General features: G+C 52.4%; 1 protein-coding gene and 1 long non-coding RNA gene across 10 annotated transcripts in view, besides 2 other annotated features; one reads left to right on the forward strand and one right to left on the reverse strand.

Annotated features, from left to right (window-relative positions):
• The window catches only part of LIPE (lipase E, hormone sensitive type), a 25875-nt gene extending 11884 nt beyond the window's left edge, over positions 1–13991 (reverse strand). For 5 of the 8 annotated variants that reach the window (NM_001416107.1, NM_001416105.1, NM_001416101.1 and 2 more), the window contains exon 1: positions 10022–10188. In NM_001416107.1, the coding sequence (NP_001403036.1) occupies positions 10022–10081 (60 nt within the window). In that variant the 5' untranslated portion in view covers positions 10082–10188. Of the gene's footprint in view, positions 1–9595; positions 9881–10021; positions 10189–12869 lie in introns of those variants that run through there. The other 3 variants (XM_005258937.4, NM_005357.4, XM_006723218.4) reach the window with 2 other exon arrangements.
• Positions 1–14050, forward strand: part of LIPE-AS1 (LIPE antisense RNA 1) — a 255208-nt gene that overhangs the window by 16250 nt on the left and 224908 nt on the right. The window contains exon 1 of one of the 2 annotated variants that reach the window (NR_073179.1): positions 10358–11807. The exons of the other annotated variant lie outside the window; for it this stretch is intronic. This is a non-coding gene — a long non-coding RNA (LIPE antisense RNA 1). Of the gene's footprint in view, positions 1–10357; positions 11808–14050 lie in introns of those variants that run through there. 2 annotated transcript variants of the gene reach the window in all.
• Positions 9843–9922: an enhancer, noted in NCBI's record as "active region_14717". NCBI's record gives its function as "activates an Ori minimal core promoter by ATAC-STARR-seq in GM12878 lymphoblastoid cells {active_cell/tissue: GM12878}" and the evidence as "EXISTENCE:reporter gene assay evidence [ECO:0000049][PMID:35858748]".
• Positions 10113–10182: an enhancer, noted in NCBI's record as "active region_14718". NCBI's record gives its function as "activates an Ori minimal core promoter by ATAC-STARR-seq in GM12878 lymphoblastoid cells {active_cell/tissue: GM12878}" and the evidence as "EXISTENCE:reporter gene assay evidence [ECO:0000049][PMID:35858748]".

Consider the following 14050-nt stretch of genomic DNA (forward strand, 5'->3'; position numbering starts at 1 on the left):
GCTCACGCCTGTAATCCCAGCATTTTGGGAGGCCGAGGCGGGCGGATCATGAGGTCAGCAGATCAAGACCATCCTGGCTAACACGGTGAAACCCCGTCTCTACTAAAAATACAAAAAAATTAGCCGGGCATGGTGGTGGGCACCTGTAGTCCCAGCTACTCGGGAGGCGGAGGCAGGAGAATGGTGTGAACCTGGGACGCGGAGCTTGCACTGAGCCAAGATCGTGCCACTGCACTCCAGCCTGGGTGACAGAGCGAGACTCTGTCTTAAAACAAAACAAAAAAGATTAGGGCCTTGAAAGGGGCCTGTGTGACTGAGGGGCTCTGAGGCCTCAGGGTCATTTGCTTGGCTGGAAGTGAATCTTCTGTCCCGGACTGTCATCCCCCAGGTGGCCCTGGGGCCTATCATGGGACCTGGCACATAGCAGGTGCTCAGTGGATATATGAAGCAGGAAGGAAGGCATGAAGAAGCAGAGCGAGGGCAGAGGGGCTAGTTAGCTCAGGAGAGGACGGCCCCTCCCCAGGGCTGGCAGACAGATGGATAGACAGAGGCCTCAGGAGGCAGTGTTAGGCTTGCAGCTGTGAAAATGGGACGATGTGGGCTAGGCACAGTGGCTCATGCCTATAATGCCAGCACGTTGGGAGGCCGACGTGGGTGGGCCACGAGGTCAGGAGATCGAGACCATCCTGGCCAACATGCTGAAACCCCGTCTCTACTAAAAATACAAAAATTAGCGGTATGGTGGTGGATGCCTGTAGTCCCCACTATTGGGAGGCTGAGACAGGAGAATCACTTGAACCCAGGAGGCAGAGGTTGCAGTGAGCTGAGATCACGCCACTGTACTCCAGCCTGGCGATAAAGCGAGACTCTGTCAGAAAAGAAAGGAAAGAAAGAAAGGAAAGGAAGGAAAGAAAGAAAGGAAAGAAGAAAAGAAAAGGAAAGAAAGATGGCCCAAGCCCTTGCTGGCGACCCTGGATGAGTCTGTTTTCCTCATCTGGAAACTGCACTTGGCTGTTCTGCTGGCTCAGGGTGGGAGACATAATTTATAAGTGGGGCCATGGCCGGCATGTTCTGCATGTGGTTTGCTTTGTGGGCTCACTTGGCCTTCCTGAGATGGTGTATTGGGTGATTTTTCTCTGCGGCACTTGTCACCATCTAGCATACTATACAGTTTACTACAGGAATACCTTGCTTCACTGTGCCTCGCACATACTGCATTTTTTACAAATTGAAGGTTTGTGGCAACCCTGCGTCAAACCAGTCTGTTGGCACCATTTTTCTGACAGCAGTTGCTCACTTTGTGTCTCTGTGTCACATTCTGGTAATTTTCACAGTGTTTCACACTTTTTCATTATTATTATATTTGTTATGATGATCTGTGATCAATGATCTCTGGTGTTACTATTGTGAGTGGGGGCACCACCAACCATGTCCACGTAAGAGGGCGAACTTTACCGATTAATGCTGTGTGTGTTCTGACTGCTCCACTGACCAGCCATTTCCCCCATCTCTCTTCTCGAGCCTCCATATTCCCTAAGACATACAATATTGAGGCCGGGCACGGTGGCTAATGCCTGTAATCCCAGCACTTTGGGAGGCTGAGGCAGGTGGATCACTTGAGGTCAGGAGGTTGAGACCAGCCTGGCCAACATGCTGAAACCCCATCTCTACTAAAAATACAAAAATTAGCTGGGCATGGTGGTGTGTGCCTGTAATCCCAGCTACTCGGGAGGCTGAGGCAGGAGAATCGCTTGAACCCGGGAGGTGGAGGTTGTAGTGAGCCAAGATCACACCATTGTACTCCAGCCTGGAAAATAGAGCGAGAGTCTGTCTCAAATAAATGAAATGAGATGAAAAATAGAATAAAATAAAATAGAAATCAGGCCAATTAACAACCCTACAATGACCTCAAAGTGTTCAAGTGAAAGAAGAGTCTTATGTCTCTCATTTTAAATCAAAAGCCAGAAGTGATTAAGCTTAGTGAGGAAGGCATGTCCAGTGCTGAAACGGGCTAAAAACTAGGCCTCTTCTGCCAGTTAGCTAAGTTGTGAATGCAAAGGAAAAATTCATGAAAGTAATTAAAAGTGCTACTCCAGTGAACACATGAATGATAAGAAAGTGAACCAGTCTTAGCTGGGCATGGTGGCTCATGCCTGTAATCCCAGCACTTTGGGAGGCCGAGGCGGGCGGATCACGAAGTCAGGAGATCGGGACCATCCTGGCTAACACGGTGAAACCCCAGCTCTACTAAAAATACAAAAAATCAGCCGGGCGTGGTGGTGGGTGCCTGTAGTCCCAGCTACTAGGGAGGCTGAGGCAGGAGAATGGCGTGAACCTGGGAAGCGGAGCTTGTAGTGAGCCGAGATCGCGCCACTGCACTCCAGCCTGGGTGACAGAGTGAGACTCCGTCTGGAAAAAAAAAAAAAAAGTGAACTAGGCTTATTGTGGATATGGAGAAAGTCTGAACGGTCTGGATAGAAGGTCAAACCAGCCACATTTCCTTAAGCCAAAGCCTAATCCCAAGCGAAGCCCTATCCCTCTTCAATTCTTTGAAGGGTGAGAGAGGTGAGGAAGCTGCAGAAAAAAGGTTGGAAGCTAGCAGAGGTGGATTCATGAGATTTAAGGAAAGAAGGCATCTCTGTAACATAAAAGTGCAGGGTGACGGCCGGGCATCGTGGCTCACGATTGTAATCCCAGCACTTTGGGAGGCTGAGGCAGGTGGATCACCTGAGGTCGGGAGTTTGAAACCAGCCTGACCAACATGGAGAAACCCCATCTCAACTTAAAATACAAAAAAGAAGCCGGGCGTGGTGGCGCATGCCTGTAATCCCAGCTACTTGGGAGGCTGAGGCAGGAGAATCACTTGAACCTGGGAGGCGGTGGTTGCAGTGAGCCGAGATCGTGCCATTGCACTCCAGCCTGAGCAACAAGAGTGAAACTTTGTCTCAAAAAAAAAAGTGCAAGGTGATGTAGCAAGTGCTGCTGGAGGAGCCGCAGCAAGTTATGCAGAAGATCTAGCTAAGATCATTGATGAAGACGGCTACATTAAGCAACATATTTTCAGTGTAGATAAAACCACCAGGTATTGGAAGAAGATGCCATCCAGGACTTTCCTAGCTGGAGGGGAGGTCAGTGCCTGGGCGCCAAAGCTTCAAGGCCAGGCTGACCCCCTTGTTAGGGGCTAATGCAGCTGGTGACTCAGTTGAAGCCGGTGTTCATTTATCATTCCAGAAATTCTAGGGCCCTCAGGATTACGCCAAATGTACTCTGCCTATGCTCTTAAATGGAACAAAGCCTGGATGACAGCACGTCTGTTTACAGCATGGTTTACTGAATATTTCAAGCCCACTGTTGAGACGGACTGCACAGAAAACAACAAAATATTTCTCAATGACAATGCATGTGGTTACCAAAGGGCCCTGGTGGAGTAGATTAATGTGTTTTCATGCCCGCTAACACATGATCTGTTCTGCAGCCCACCAGCCAAGGAGTAATTTCGACTTTTAAGTCTTGTTATTTGTTATTATTATTATATTTTTTTGAGACGGAGTCTCGCTCTGTCGCCCAGGTTGGAGTGCAGTGGCGCAATCTCAGCTCACTGCAAGCTCCGCCTCCCGGGTTCACGCCATTCTCCTGCCTCAGCCTCCTGAGTAGCTGGGACGACAGGCGCCCGCCACCACACCTGGCTAATTTTTTGTATTTTTAGTAGAGACGGGGTTTCACCATGTTAGCTAGGATGGTCTCGATCTCCTGACCTCGTGATTCGCCTGCCTCGGCCTCCCAAAATGCTGGGATTACAGGCGTGAGCCACTGCGCCCGGCCAATTTCAACTTTTAAGTCTTATTATTTGTTATTCTTATTTTTAAAATTTTTAGTTTTAGAGATGGATTCTTGCTGTGTCACCTGGGCTGGAGTGTAGTGGCACGATCATACCTCACTGCAGCCTTGAACTTCTGGGCTCAAGTGATCCTCCTACTTCAGCCTCCTGAGTAGTGGGGACTACAGATGGGCACCACTATGCCTGGTTCATTTTTTTTTTTCCAGGTTTTTAGAGACAGAGTCTTGCTATATTGCCTAGGCTGGTTTTGAATTCCAGGCCTCAAGAGATCCTCCTGCCTTGGCCTCTTGAGTAGCTGGGAGAGTCACTGCATCTGGCTAATTTTTTGTGTTTTTTAAGAGACAGGGCTGTGTTGCCTAGCCTGGTCTTGAACACTGGACCTCAAGTGATCATCCTGCCTCAGCCTCTTGAATAGCTGGGATTACAGGCATGTGCCACCATGCCCAGCTCTAAGTCTTATTAAATAATAAAAAATAGAAATACATTTAGAAATACATTTTGTAGGCTGGGTGCAGTGGCTCATACTTATAATCGCAGCACTTTGGGAGGCCAAGGCAGGAAGATAGCTTGAGGCCAGTTTGAGATCAACCTGGGTAACATAGTGAGACCCTCCCCCTCTACAAAAAATAAATAAAAAAATAAAAAAACAGAAATACATTTGATAGCAGGAACAATGGCAACAAAGGATTTAGACTATGACATAGACTTGGCTGATAGAGCACCAGCAGGCTTTGACAGGACTGACCCCCATTTTTTTTTTTTTTTGAGACAAGTTTCGCTCTTGTTGCCCAGGCTGGAGTGCAATGGTGCGATCTCAGCTCACCGCAACCTCCGCCTCCCAGGTTCAAGTGATTCTCCTACCTCAGCCTCCTGAGTAGCTGGGACTACAGGTGCCTGCCACCGCGCCTGGTTAATTTTAGTATTTTTAGTAGAGACGGGGTTTTACCATGTTGGCCAGGCTGGCCTCAAACTCCTGACCTTGGGTGATTTGCCCACCTCGGCCTCCCAAAGTGCTGGGATTATAGGTGTGAGCCACCGTGCCTGGCCTGACCCCAATTTTGAAAGTTCTACTGTGGACCAAATGCTATCAAACAGCATCACATGTTACAGAGAACAGTTTTGTGAGTGAATCGAAGCAGAAAAGTTCATTGTTACCTTATTTTAAGAAACTGCCACAGCCACTTTCTACAACCACCACCCTCGTGAGTCAGCAGCCACCACCACTGGGGCAAGACCCTCCACCAGCAAAAAGATGAGGATTTGCTGAAGGCTCAGATGATCATTAGCATAGTATGGGGCCAGGCGTGGTAGCTCATGCTTGTAATCCTGGCACTTTGGGAGGTCAAAGCAGGAGGCTCACTTGAGGCTAGGAGTTCGAGACTAGCCTGGGCAACATAGTGAGATTCCGTCTCTACAGAAAAAAAAAAATTAAAATATGTACATGGTATTTTTAGACATATGCTGTTGTACACTTTAATAGACTACAGGATAGTGTAAACATAACTTTTCTATGCACTGGGAAACCAACAAATTTGTGTGACTCACTTTATCAAGTGGTCTGGAATTGAACCCCAAATATCTCTGAGACATGCCTGAATTTATATTGTTTGCTCTCTGATTCCCTCACTAGATTGTAAACTCCCTGAGGGCAGGGACTTTTGCCTTTTTTATTCAGCCTTTGGACAGTGCCTGGTGCACTGCCGCCCCTTGGTAAAGTGGTAGCATCCATGCCGGTAGGGATCTTTTAAGATGAGGAGTGGGGGCCGGGCGCCGTGGCTCACACCTGTAATCCCACCACTTTGGGAGGCTGAGGCCGGTGGATCACCTGAGATCGGGAGTTCGAGACCAGCCTGGCCAACATGGAGAAACCCTGTCTCTACTAAAAATACAAAATTAGCCGGGCATGGTGGCGCGTGCCTGTAGTCCCAGCTACTCGGGAGGCTGAGGCAGGAGAATCGCTTGAACCTGGGAGGCAGAGGTTGCGGTGAGCCAAGATCACACCATTGCACTCCAGCCTCGGCAACAAGACAGAAACTCTGTCTCAAAAAAATTAAAATAAAATAAATAAAAAGATGAGGAGAGGGGACATTTCCAACAAAACAAGTGACTGCACAAAGGAGTGGGGAAGGGGCTGGACCCAGGCCCTAGGGACTCCAGAGCTCTGCCCTTTGTCCTGTTCCAGGCGGCTCCCCGAGGACTGGGCTGGGTGGAGCTGGCAGGAAGGGATGCTGAGGTTGCCAGCAACTCGCCAGGAATCCCTGGCAGAGGGCACTGGGGCAGGGGTAGGCCCACTGGGGCCGTGGGTAAGGACTAGGGGAGAGGTAGGGCAGAGGGGATTTGGCTTTGGGTGGTGTCCCACTGACTGGGCACTGGACCTTTCTTTGCCCTGAAGAGTTTCTGGACAGCTGAATCCGACTCCTGGGGACTGAGCAGGGGTAAGGAGGGCGGTGGGGAAGGAAGTGGGGTGGGGGTGGATGGGGGATGGAGGAAGGGCCAGGTGTGGGGCCTGGGAGGAAGCAAAGGCTTCTGAAGCCAGGAAGCCTGGAATCAGATGCAGGTGGGGACAATGAGTGGCTGGATCCCCGAGAGTGTGTGCATAAAAGAGCAAACGTTGCACCAACAGCCTCTGCGTGCCTGGTCTCTTTCTCTGTGCGTGTGTGTGTTTAATTTAAAAATAGGGATCGAGTCTAGCTGTGTTGCCTAGACTGGTCTCGAACTCCTGTGCTCAAGCAATCCTCCTGCCTTGGTCTCCCAAAGTGCTGGGATTTCTTTTCTTTTTTTTTTTTTTTTCATTCTCAAAGGAGGTGATGAGATTTCTTTATGTGTTTTATGTGAAGTGACTCATGTCGCCTGCCCCACAACCTATGAGGGAGAGACCATTATCATCCCTTTTGGCAGATGACAAAATTGAGGCACAGAAAGGTGACATAACCCCCGGGGTCACACGGCCAGCAGGGGGCAGCTCCAGGGCAGAGCTGCTGATCTCTGCTGTGTTTCTGTGTGCTGCTCCCTCTGTCTGTGCTTCAAAGTATATGCTTTCTGGTCGGGTGTGAGTGTGTCTGGGGTTCACGTGTACATATGTACCTCTGCAGGTATGTGTCATGGCTGGCGTGTGTCCTGGCCTGTGTCCGTCGGCACTGGTACATTTGAAGGTATGAATGTTTGTATGCCTGTGAATGTATCTGTGTCTCTGTTTCTCTTGGCCTGTGAGCTTGTGTGGGCGTGTTTGTTTATGTATGAATGGATATACATGCTTGTGCGTGTCTTGGTCTCTGTGTGTGTGTTGAGAACAAACCTCTCCCCATTTGCTCAAGCTGGAACCCAGGATGTCATCCTGGCCACCTCCCCACCCCCCAACTCCCATGCAATCCATCCCCTAGTCCTGCCCACTATGCCTACTAAAGGCCTCTGGAACCTGGCCCTTCTCCCCACCTCCACTGCCTCCTCCCTGGTCCAGGCGGTAGCATCATTACCTGGGTGACTATGACAGATCTTTATATATTTCTGATTTTGTTCTCTTTGATTTGTTGTCCACATAGCAGCCACAGGATCTTTTTAGCACACAAATCTGTTCACACACTTCCAACCCTTCAACACCCCCTCCCTTGCTTTCAGGATAAAGCCCCCAATCCTGCACATGGCCTCCCAAGCCAGGTACCATCCTCCTCTCTCTCTCTCTTTTTGAGACAAAGTCTCATTGTTGCCCAGGCTGGAGTAGAGTGGTGCGATCACAGCTCACTGCAGCCTCAACCTCCTGGGCTCAATTGATCCTCCCACCTCAGCCTCCCAAGTAGCTGGGACTACAGGTACACCCCACCATGCCCGGCTAATGTTTGTGTTTTTGGTAGAGACGGGGTCTCGCTATGTTGCCCACGCTGGCCTCAAACTCCTGGACTCAAGGGGTCCTCCCACCTTGGCCTCCCAAAGTGCCAGGATTACAGGTGTGAGCCGCTGTACCCAGCTACCATCCTCCTCTCTTAAACTGCCTGCCCTGTTTCCTCTTCCTCTTCCTCCTGGCCCTGGCTGAGCTCCCTCTGCACTGTAACTCAGTGTTTCCTCAAGCCTCGGGTCTTTCTCCATACTGTCCTCTCTGTTCCCCTGCCTGCCCCCTGCACAGCACTTAACGCCTGTCCATCTTGGGTCCAATATTGCCTCCTTGGGAAGCCTCTCAATTCTATCTTCCCAGGGTGTTTTTCTCTGTTGTATTTATCACAGTTTACAATCATAGTCTTATCTGAGTAATATCTGTGTCCCCAGCTCAACTGTGAATCTGTCAGCCCAGGCCTGGCACAGCTCAGTGTTCAGTGAATGTCTGCTGAATGAATCTGTGTGACTGGAACCTCTTGGGCCCAGAATCAAGTTTGGGCCCACAGCAGTTGTGCGTCCACAAACTCCCTGCCCCGAGGAGGCTGAGGCAGCCATCTCTTTGCCCTCACTGGCCAAGTAAGGAAGCCCAGGCGGCCTTGGTCCCTCAGAGCCCCAGTGTCGTCATCTGGGAAATGGGGTGATCCTAAGGACACTAGCCTCATCCAGTTACTGGCAAGATGAAACTGATGACGAGGATTGCTCCAGCCAGCCCAGATGCCCTTGAGGCAGGAGTGAGGTCTGATTAATTTATCTAAAGCCTGGCACGAGGGCGGGGCTTCAGGAAATGACAGGCAAATCTTGGAGTTTGCAGGAATGAGCCTTTGTGAATGGCTCGTTTTGCAGGGAGCCCTGCCCAACTGGATTCTGACTCCTCATGACAACCCTAAGGGAAGCGTGATTATTATGATCTCTGTTACAGTTCACACATTCCTTCACTTATTAATCCAATAAATATTTGAGTGCCTATTTGCCTGGCATACCAGGCTCTAGAAATACAGGGTAAACAAGGCAGATACAGCCCTGCTTTTAGGATGTTCACCGTCCGGTGGGGACTAACAGTAACAATAACCTTCACTTCTCCTGAGGGTTTGCTGCGTGCCTGTGCCAAACGCTCTACATTCATTCTAACCTCACAAAAGGAGGTACTCCTATCATCATACCCATTTTAGAGCTCAGAAAGCTGAGGCAGGGAAAGAGGGAGTCTCCTGCCCAGAACATCACAGCTCCCAGCCTGAGGAACCGGATCTCCGACGCCCACGTTTCTTAACTACAGTCTGTACTGCCTCTGGGTATGCTATACTGGTGTGAGGCTCAGTGTCTTGCTGTGACAGCGAGTGCCCTTGGGCTCCAGTCCGTCTGCCCTCTGAGCCTGTCTGAGCCTGCGTGTGTCTGAAGCCAACTCCAGGTCTATTCTGGGCTAATGATGTGTTCTACGGCAGGGGAAGCAATGAGTTTGGGGTCCCTGGGGCTGAGGGGTGGTGTTAGTTTCCTTCCTGCATGGGAACCTCCCACGGGTCCCCATGCTGATTGATAAATGCTTGTAACTGAGGACCTGCCCCTGCCTGAGGCTTGCAGCATTTCTGTTGGTCTGTCAGCCTTTGTTCCGCCTTTTGAGACCTGAAAATAATGTGACACCCTAGAGAAATGAGGCCTTCCCTTTTGCTGAGGCAGGTGTGGAGGTCTGAAGCCAAGCCAGGGCCCGTTGTCCTGGAAAGGGTAGGGGTCAGGGCTAGGCCCCAGTGGAGCCGGCTGAAGCGGGTTGACTGACAATGAATGGATGGATGGATGGACTGACTTGCCGGGTGGGAGGCCGGGACTGCGATGAACTTTACTGGCCCCGCTGCACTCTCCACTATGGGCACCCCTTCCTCCTACCTCTCCTTGACTCACCGCTAGACTTCCTCTTTGAGTAACACCTGCTAACCTCCTTCCCCCTTATCCTCTCAAGAGCGCTGGAGCCCTGAACATCGGCGCTTGAAGCATTCCCCAGGTGGGAAACACTGAGGGCATCCGTTGCCCTTGGTCACACAGCGAATACGGAATCCGAGCGGGAACCCTGGTCCACGAAGCTCGCATTCCGGACTCTGCTCCCAAGCCGATCCGGGCGTCAGCTAGTCCCTGTGCCAGGGTGGGCCTCTCGGCTGTCACATCACCCCCTTCTCACAATGGATCATCCCGTTGTCCCCGCAAGCGGCAATGGGCCAGTCCGCGGACCCCCCCAACTCCCTGTGGCAGTGGGCCAGTCCACGCTGTCCCCACTGCCCCGTAGGATGTACGAGGTTCCTTCCGGGCTGCTGCCGGTCTCCGCGCGCTCACCTTTGGCCTTGTCTTTTCGCCACCGCCGGCGACCGTGGCTCCTTGAGCCCTCTTTGGCATTCTTCGAGGCCGGGGCCATAGCGGCCTCGGCGGGCTCCGTTCCCCCGGCCAACTCCATCAATTCCCCGCGGTCCTCCCGCGGGGGCCAATTCCAGCCGCGAGGCCCTGCCCGGAGGGCCAATCCTCGCTACACACTACTGTCGGGCCCCCCTATTACCCAATCCCGAGCTTGCTCTTCTCTGGGTCCAGCTCCCTAACCAATTCTGGTCTCCCTCCGCTGCCGTGCTCCGCCCCCAACCGCCAGAATTTAAGATCTGGCTCCGCCCCCTACCGCGCATTAAAGGGCTCGCGGCCAACAAAAAGGCAACCCCGGGGGTGGCGAAAAGCGTCCTTCGGGCAGGACTAGTGCGGAGCCCCGCGGGGAGCACCCCAGCAGGGAAGTCCCGATCTTCCCACGTGCTGGGAAGCCTCCCATGTGCTGGCTCAGTCTCGCCATCCCACTCACCTTCCCAGGGAGGGATGCCCTAGCACGCGGCCCGGCCCGCCTTTTGAAGGGGGAAAGTGGGGCGCCTCTGAGCCTCTGCCTGGGGTGGGGGCGGGCCAGGTCCTCTGCCAACTCAAAGACGAGGCGGGGCGCCAGCGCTGGAGGCGTGGCTGTGCCTGAGAGCCGTTGGAGGAGGGAGCCCCGCTTTCCCTCTCCTGTCTCCTAGTTCTCCTATTGCGCTTTTCCTGGGGGATCTTTCTCCCTCTGTCTCCGCCCCCTAATCCATGCTCCCGATAATGAGGGTGGGGGATGGTGGTAGGAGAACGCTCGGCGCCTGCGCACTAGCTTCAGGCCGCGGGCCGGCCCAAGAGCGGAGGTAGAGGGAACGACGCATGCTTGAGAAATGGCGGGAAACAGAGGAGGCTCGAGGCTTGCTCACACGCACACAGCCAACTGCTTCTGGACCGCCTTGCTCACACGCACACAGCCAACTGCTTCTGGACCGCCTGAAAGGCAACCTCGCCCGCCGCGGTGGTGTGGGGCGGGCATCCCTTGAGACTGTGCTCTGGAGGCCTGGAGAAACAGCTTTCTATCCTCAGCACTGGGGAGAGCAGGCCTCAATCCCTGCCTTTGCCTGCCGCCCCTCTTCCTTCCCTCTCAAAGCATACCCAGCAGCCCCGGCGCTGAGAAACGCGTTACTCTCTTATCAGCTGTGGGAGAGACAAGACAGACTGGCCTCTGGGCGGAGGGGCCGCCATTGCCTGCCCTCTGGACCAGGGCCTCACAGATACCCTCAGCTTCAGGATTAGGGCTGCGTTGGTTTTTCCCCCCACATCAGGGGACTTCAACAAGTAACCTCCAGTTCCATAGATAAAACTTGTATTCCCCCCTTCTCCATGGCAGGGGTTTTGAGCCTAGAGAAGGAAGATCGGAGCTTCCTGGGGCTCCTGTGAAGCAGGCAGGGGGCAGCACTGGGCCCCGGGAAGAGGCGGAGAAGGCGAGGGAGTGCCTGCGGTGAGCCCAGAGCCTTGGGCCCGTTATCCTCTGATGCTGCTCCCCCAACTTTCCTGCCGTCAGTCCCTGACCTTGCCTGAGACCTTGGCGGCTCCCGCACCTCTCTCCCGGCTCCTCCTTGCTGAGAACACAACCCGCAAGGCCCTTCCGCCTGGCTGGACTGAGTCCCCTATGGAGGCAGCCTGGCAGGGAGCAGGTATCTTCCTGGCAGAAGAGGACAGACCTGGTAAACTGAGAGACTGTTGATGCCCCAATGTTCTGCCTAGCCTGCCTGGAAACTCCAGAAGGGTAAGGTACCGTCTTTGTATTGTATTGCTGGGACTTACGCCCGTGTCTACCCCAGAGCTGGTGCTCAGTCAGTTTCTGTGGATGGATGAATGAACACTGGCAAGAGGGCCGCTTTCCTGGTCTCCTGGTCCCTAGCTCAGAGTGCCTTCCCACTCTGGGATTTGATTTTCCCCAAATCCTCTATAGGGAGGCAGCCTGGTCCAGGGGAGAAAGACCCCGGCTTCAAATCCTGACTTTGCCACTTCCTAACTGCATGGCCCTGTGCAAGAACCCTTACTTCTTTATTTTCTACCTGATGTCCTCATTTCTAAAATGAGGATGTTGGCCAGGTGCTCGGTGGCTCATGCCTGTAATCTCAGCACTTTGGGAAGCTGAGGTGGGAGGCTTGCTTGGGGCCAGGAGTTCGAGACCAGCCTGGGCAACATAGCGAGGCCACGTCTCTACGGAAAATGTAAAAATTAGCGGGGCATGGTGGTGCACTTGTAGTCCCACCTACTCCGGAGGCTGAGGTATGAGGATCGCTTGAGCCCAGGAGTTTGAGGCTGCAGTGAGCCATGATCATACCAGTGCACCCCAGCCTGGGCGACAGAGTGAGACTTTGTTTTTTTCTTTTTTTGAGATGGAGTCTTACTCTGTCACCCAGGCTGGAGTGCAGTGGCACGATCTCAGCTCATTGCAACCTTTGCCTCCCGGGTTCAAGTGTTTCTCTGCCTCAGCCTCCCGAGTAGCTGGGATTACAGGCACCTGCCACCACGCCTGGCTAATTTTTGTATTTTTAGTAGAGACGGTGTTTCACCATCTTGGCTAGGCTGGTCTTGAACTCCTGGCCTCAAGCAATCCATCTGCCTCGGCCTCCCAAAGTGCTGGGATTACAGGTGTGAGCCACTGCGCCCAGCCTTTTTTTTTTTTTTTTTTTTTTTTAATAATGGGGATGTTGATCTTTATCTCAGGATTGTTGAAGGATGACCAGAGCTAACCTGATACACCGTAAGTTTTTAGTATTTTTTAAGTAAATGAATGACTGTCCCTGAGAGGCTTCAATTCCTCCAGATTCACACTCACCTGTATCCTGGTAGTGTCTGTGATTCCGAGCACTGGTTTTCTCATGTGGCGACGTCCCACTGTATCCTGACATCACTTTATAACCAGATTTTCCTTTGAAGCCTAGCTTCACTCCCTGGGCCACCATTCCACCCATCGTGGCTGGAGAATCTGTGTCTGAAGATGATCCCACATCTGATTCTGACTCAGAATCTGTGACCCACTCAGAAAGTGCCTTCCACTCTAGGGCTGATCGCTGTATGGATAGTTCCTGAAGTTTTGTTAGAAATCCCAGCTCTGTCAAAGATCCCTGCTTGGATTTGGCTCCCTGGACTGGCGTTGTTTGCTTGTCTGACTGTTCAGGTGTCTCTTGGGACGTAGATTCAGTCGGGGCAGATGGCTCCCTTTTGGCTCCAGGTTTAGCCTGGGCCGCAGGTGTTGATTCAGCTTCTTGTTGAGCTGGAGGTGGCTCTCCTGGCCCAGGCCCTGGCTGGGCTACATGTCTTTGTCTCAATGCTGGCTCCTGTTGAGTTATAGATTCTTTTCCTAGCCCAGGTCCCTGCTGGGAGGCAGCTTCCTGTTGAGTGAGCAGCACCCTTTGGATGTAAGGTGATTGCTGTGGTGCGGGCTTCTGTGGGGCAAGAAATTCCTCTTGTGAAGCAGATTTTTGTTGGGCTCTAGGTTCCTTCTGGGATTCAGCATCATGTTGTGCAGGGGTCTCCTGCTGGGTGAGGGGTCTTTGGTTTGAAGCAGGCTTCTGTTGGGTATTGGATCCCTGCAGAGTCTTCGATTCTGGCTGGGCTATGGGTGTCTTTTCTGGCCCAGGCTCTAGCGGGGTTATAGGCCTCTGGTGTGGTTCAGGTTGCCAGTCTGACCTAGACACTGACTTAGAACCTGGCTCCATTGTTATTTCCCTCACGGGAGATATTGATCTTCCAGGTTCTATCCTTCTGGGCTCCCACCCAGCCCTCTCTCTTCACAGATCTCTCATTGATTCCTCATGATGGCACTTCCTCTTGGGTTTCACTCCATCCTAGCATCACTGGTCTTCCTTTTTAAGGCAGCTGGCAGTTGGCCGATCACAGCTGGCCCCCACTAAGTAATGAACTCTGTGCCTCTTTCTTTGGTGGGAGGATTAGGAATAGGAGGAGGCTATGTGCCTAGCACTCTCTTACAAGAAGGGAGGGGCTTGCTCTCTTGTG

Source organism: Homo sapiens, chromosome 19, assembly GCF_000001405.40.
Source record: "Homo sapiens chromosome 19, GRCh38.p14 Primary Assembly".
NCBI lineage: Eukaryota > Metazoa > Chordata > Mammalia > Primates > Hominidae > Homo > Homo sapiens.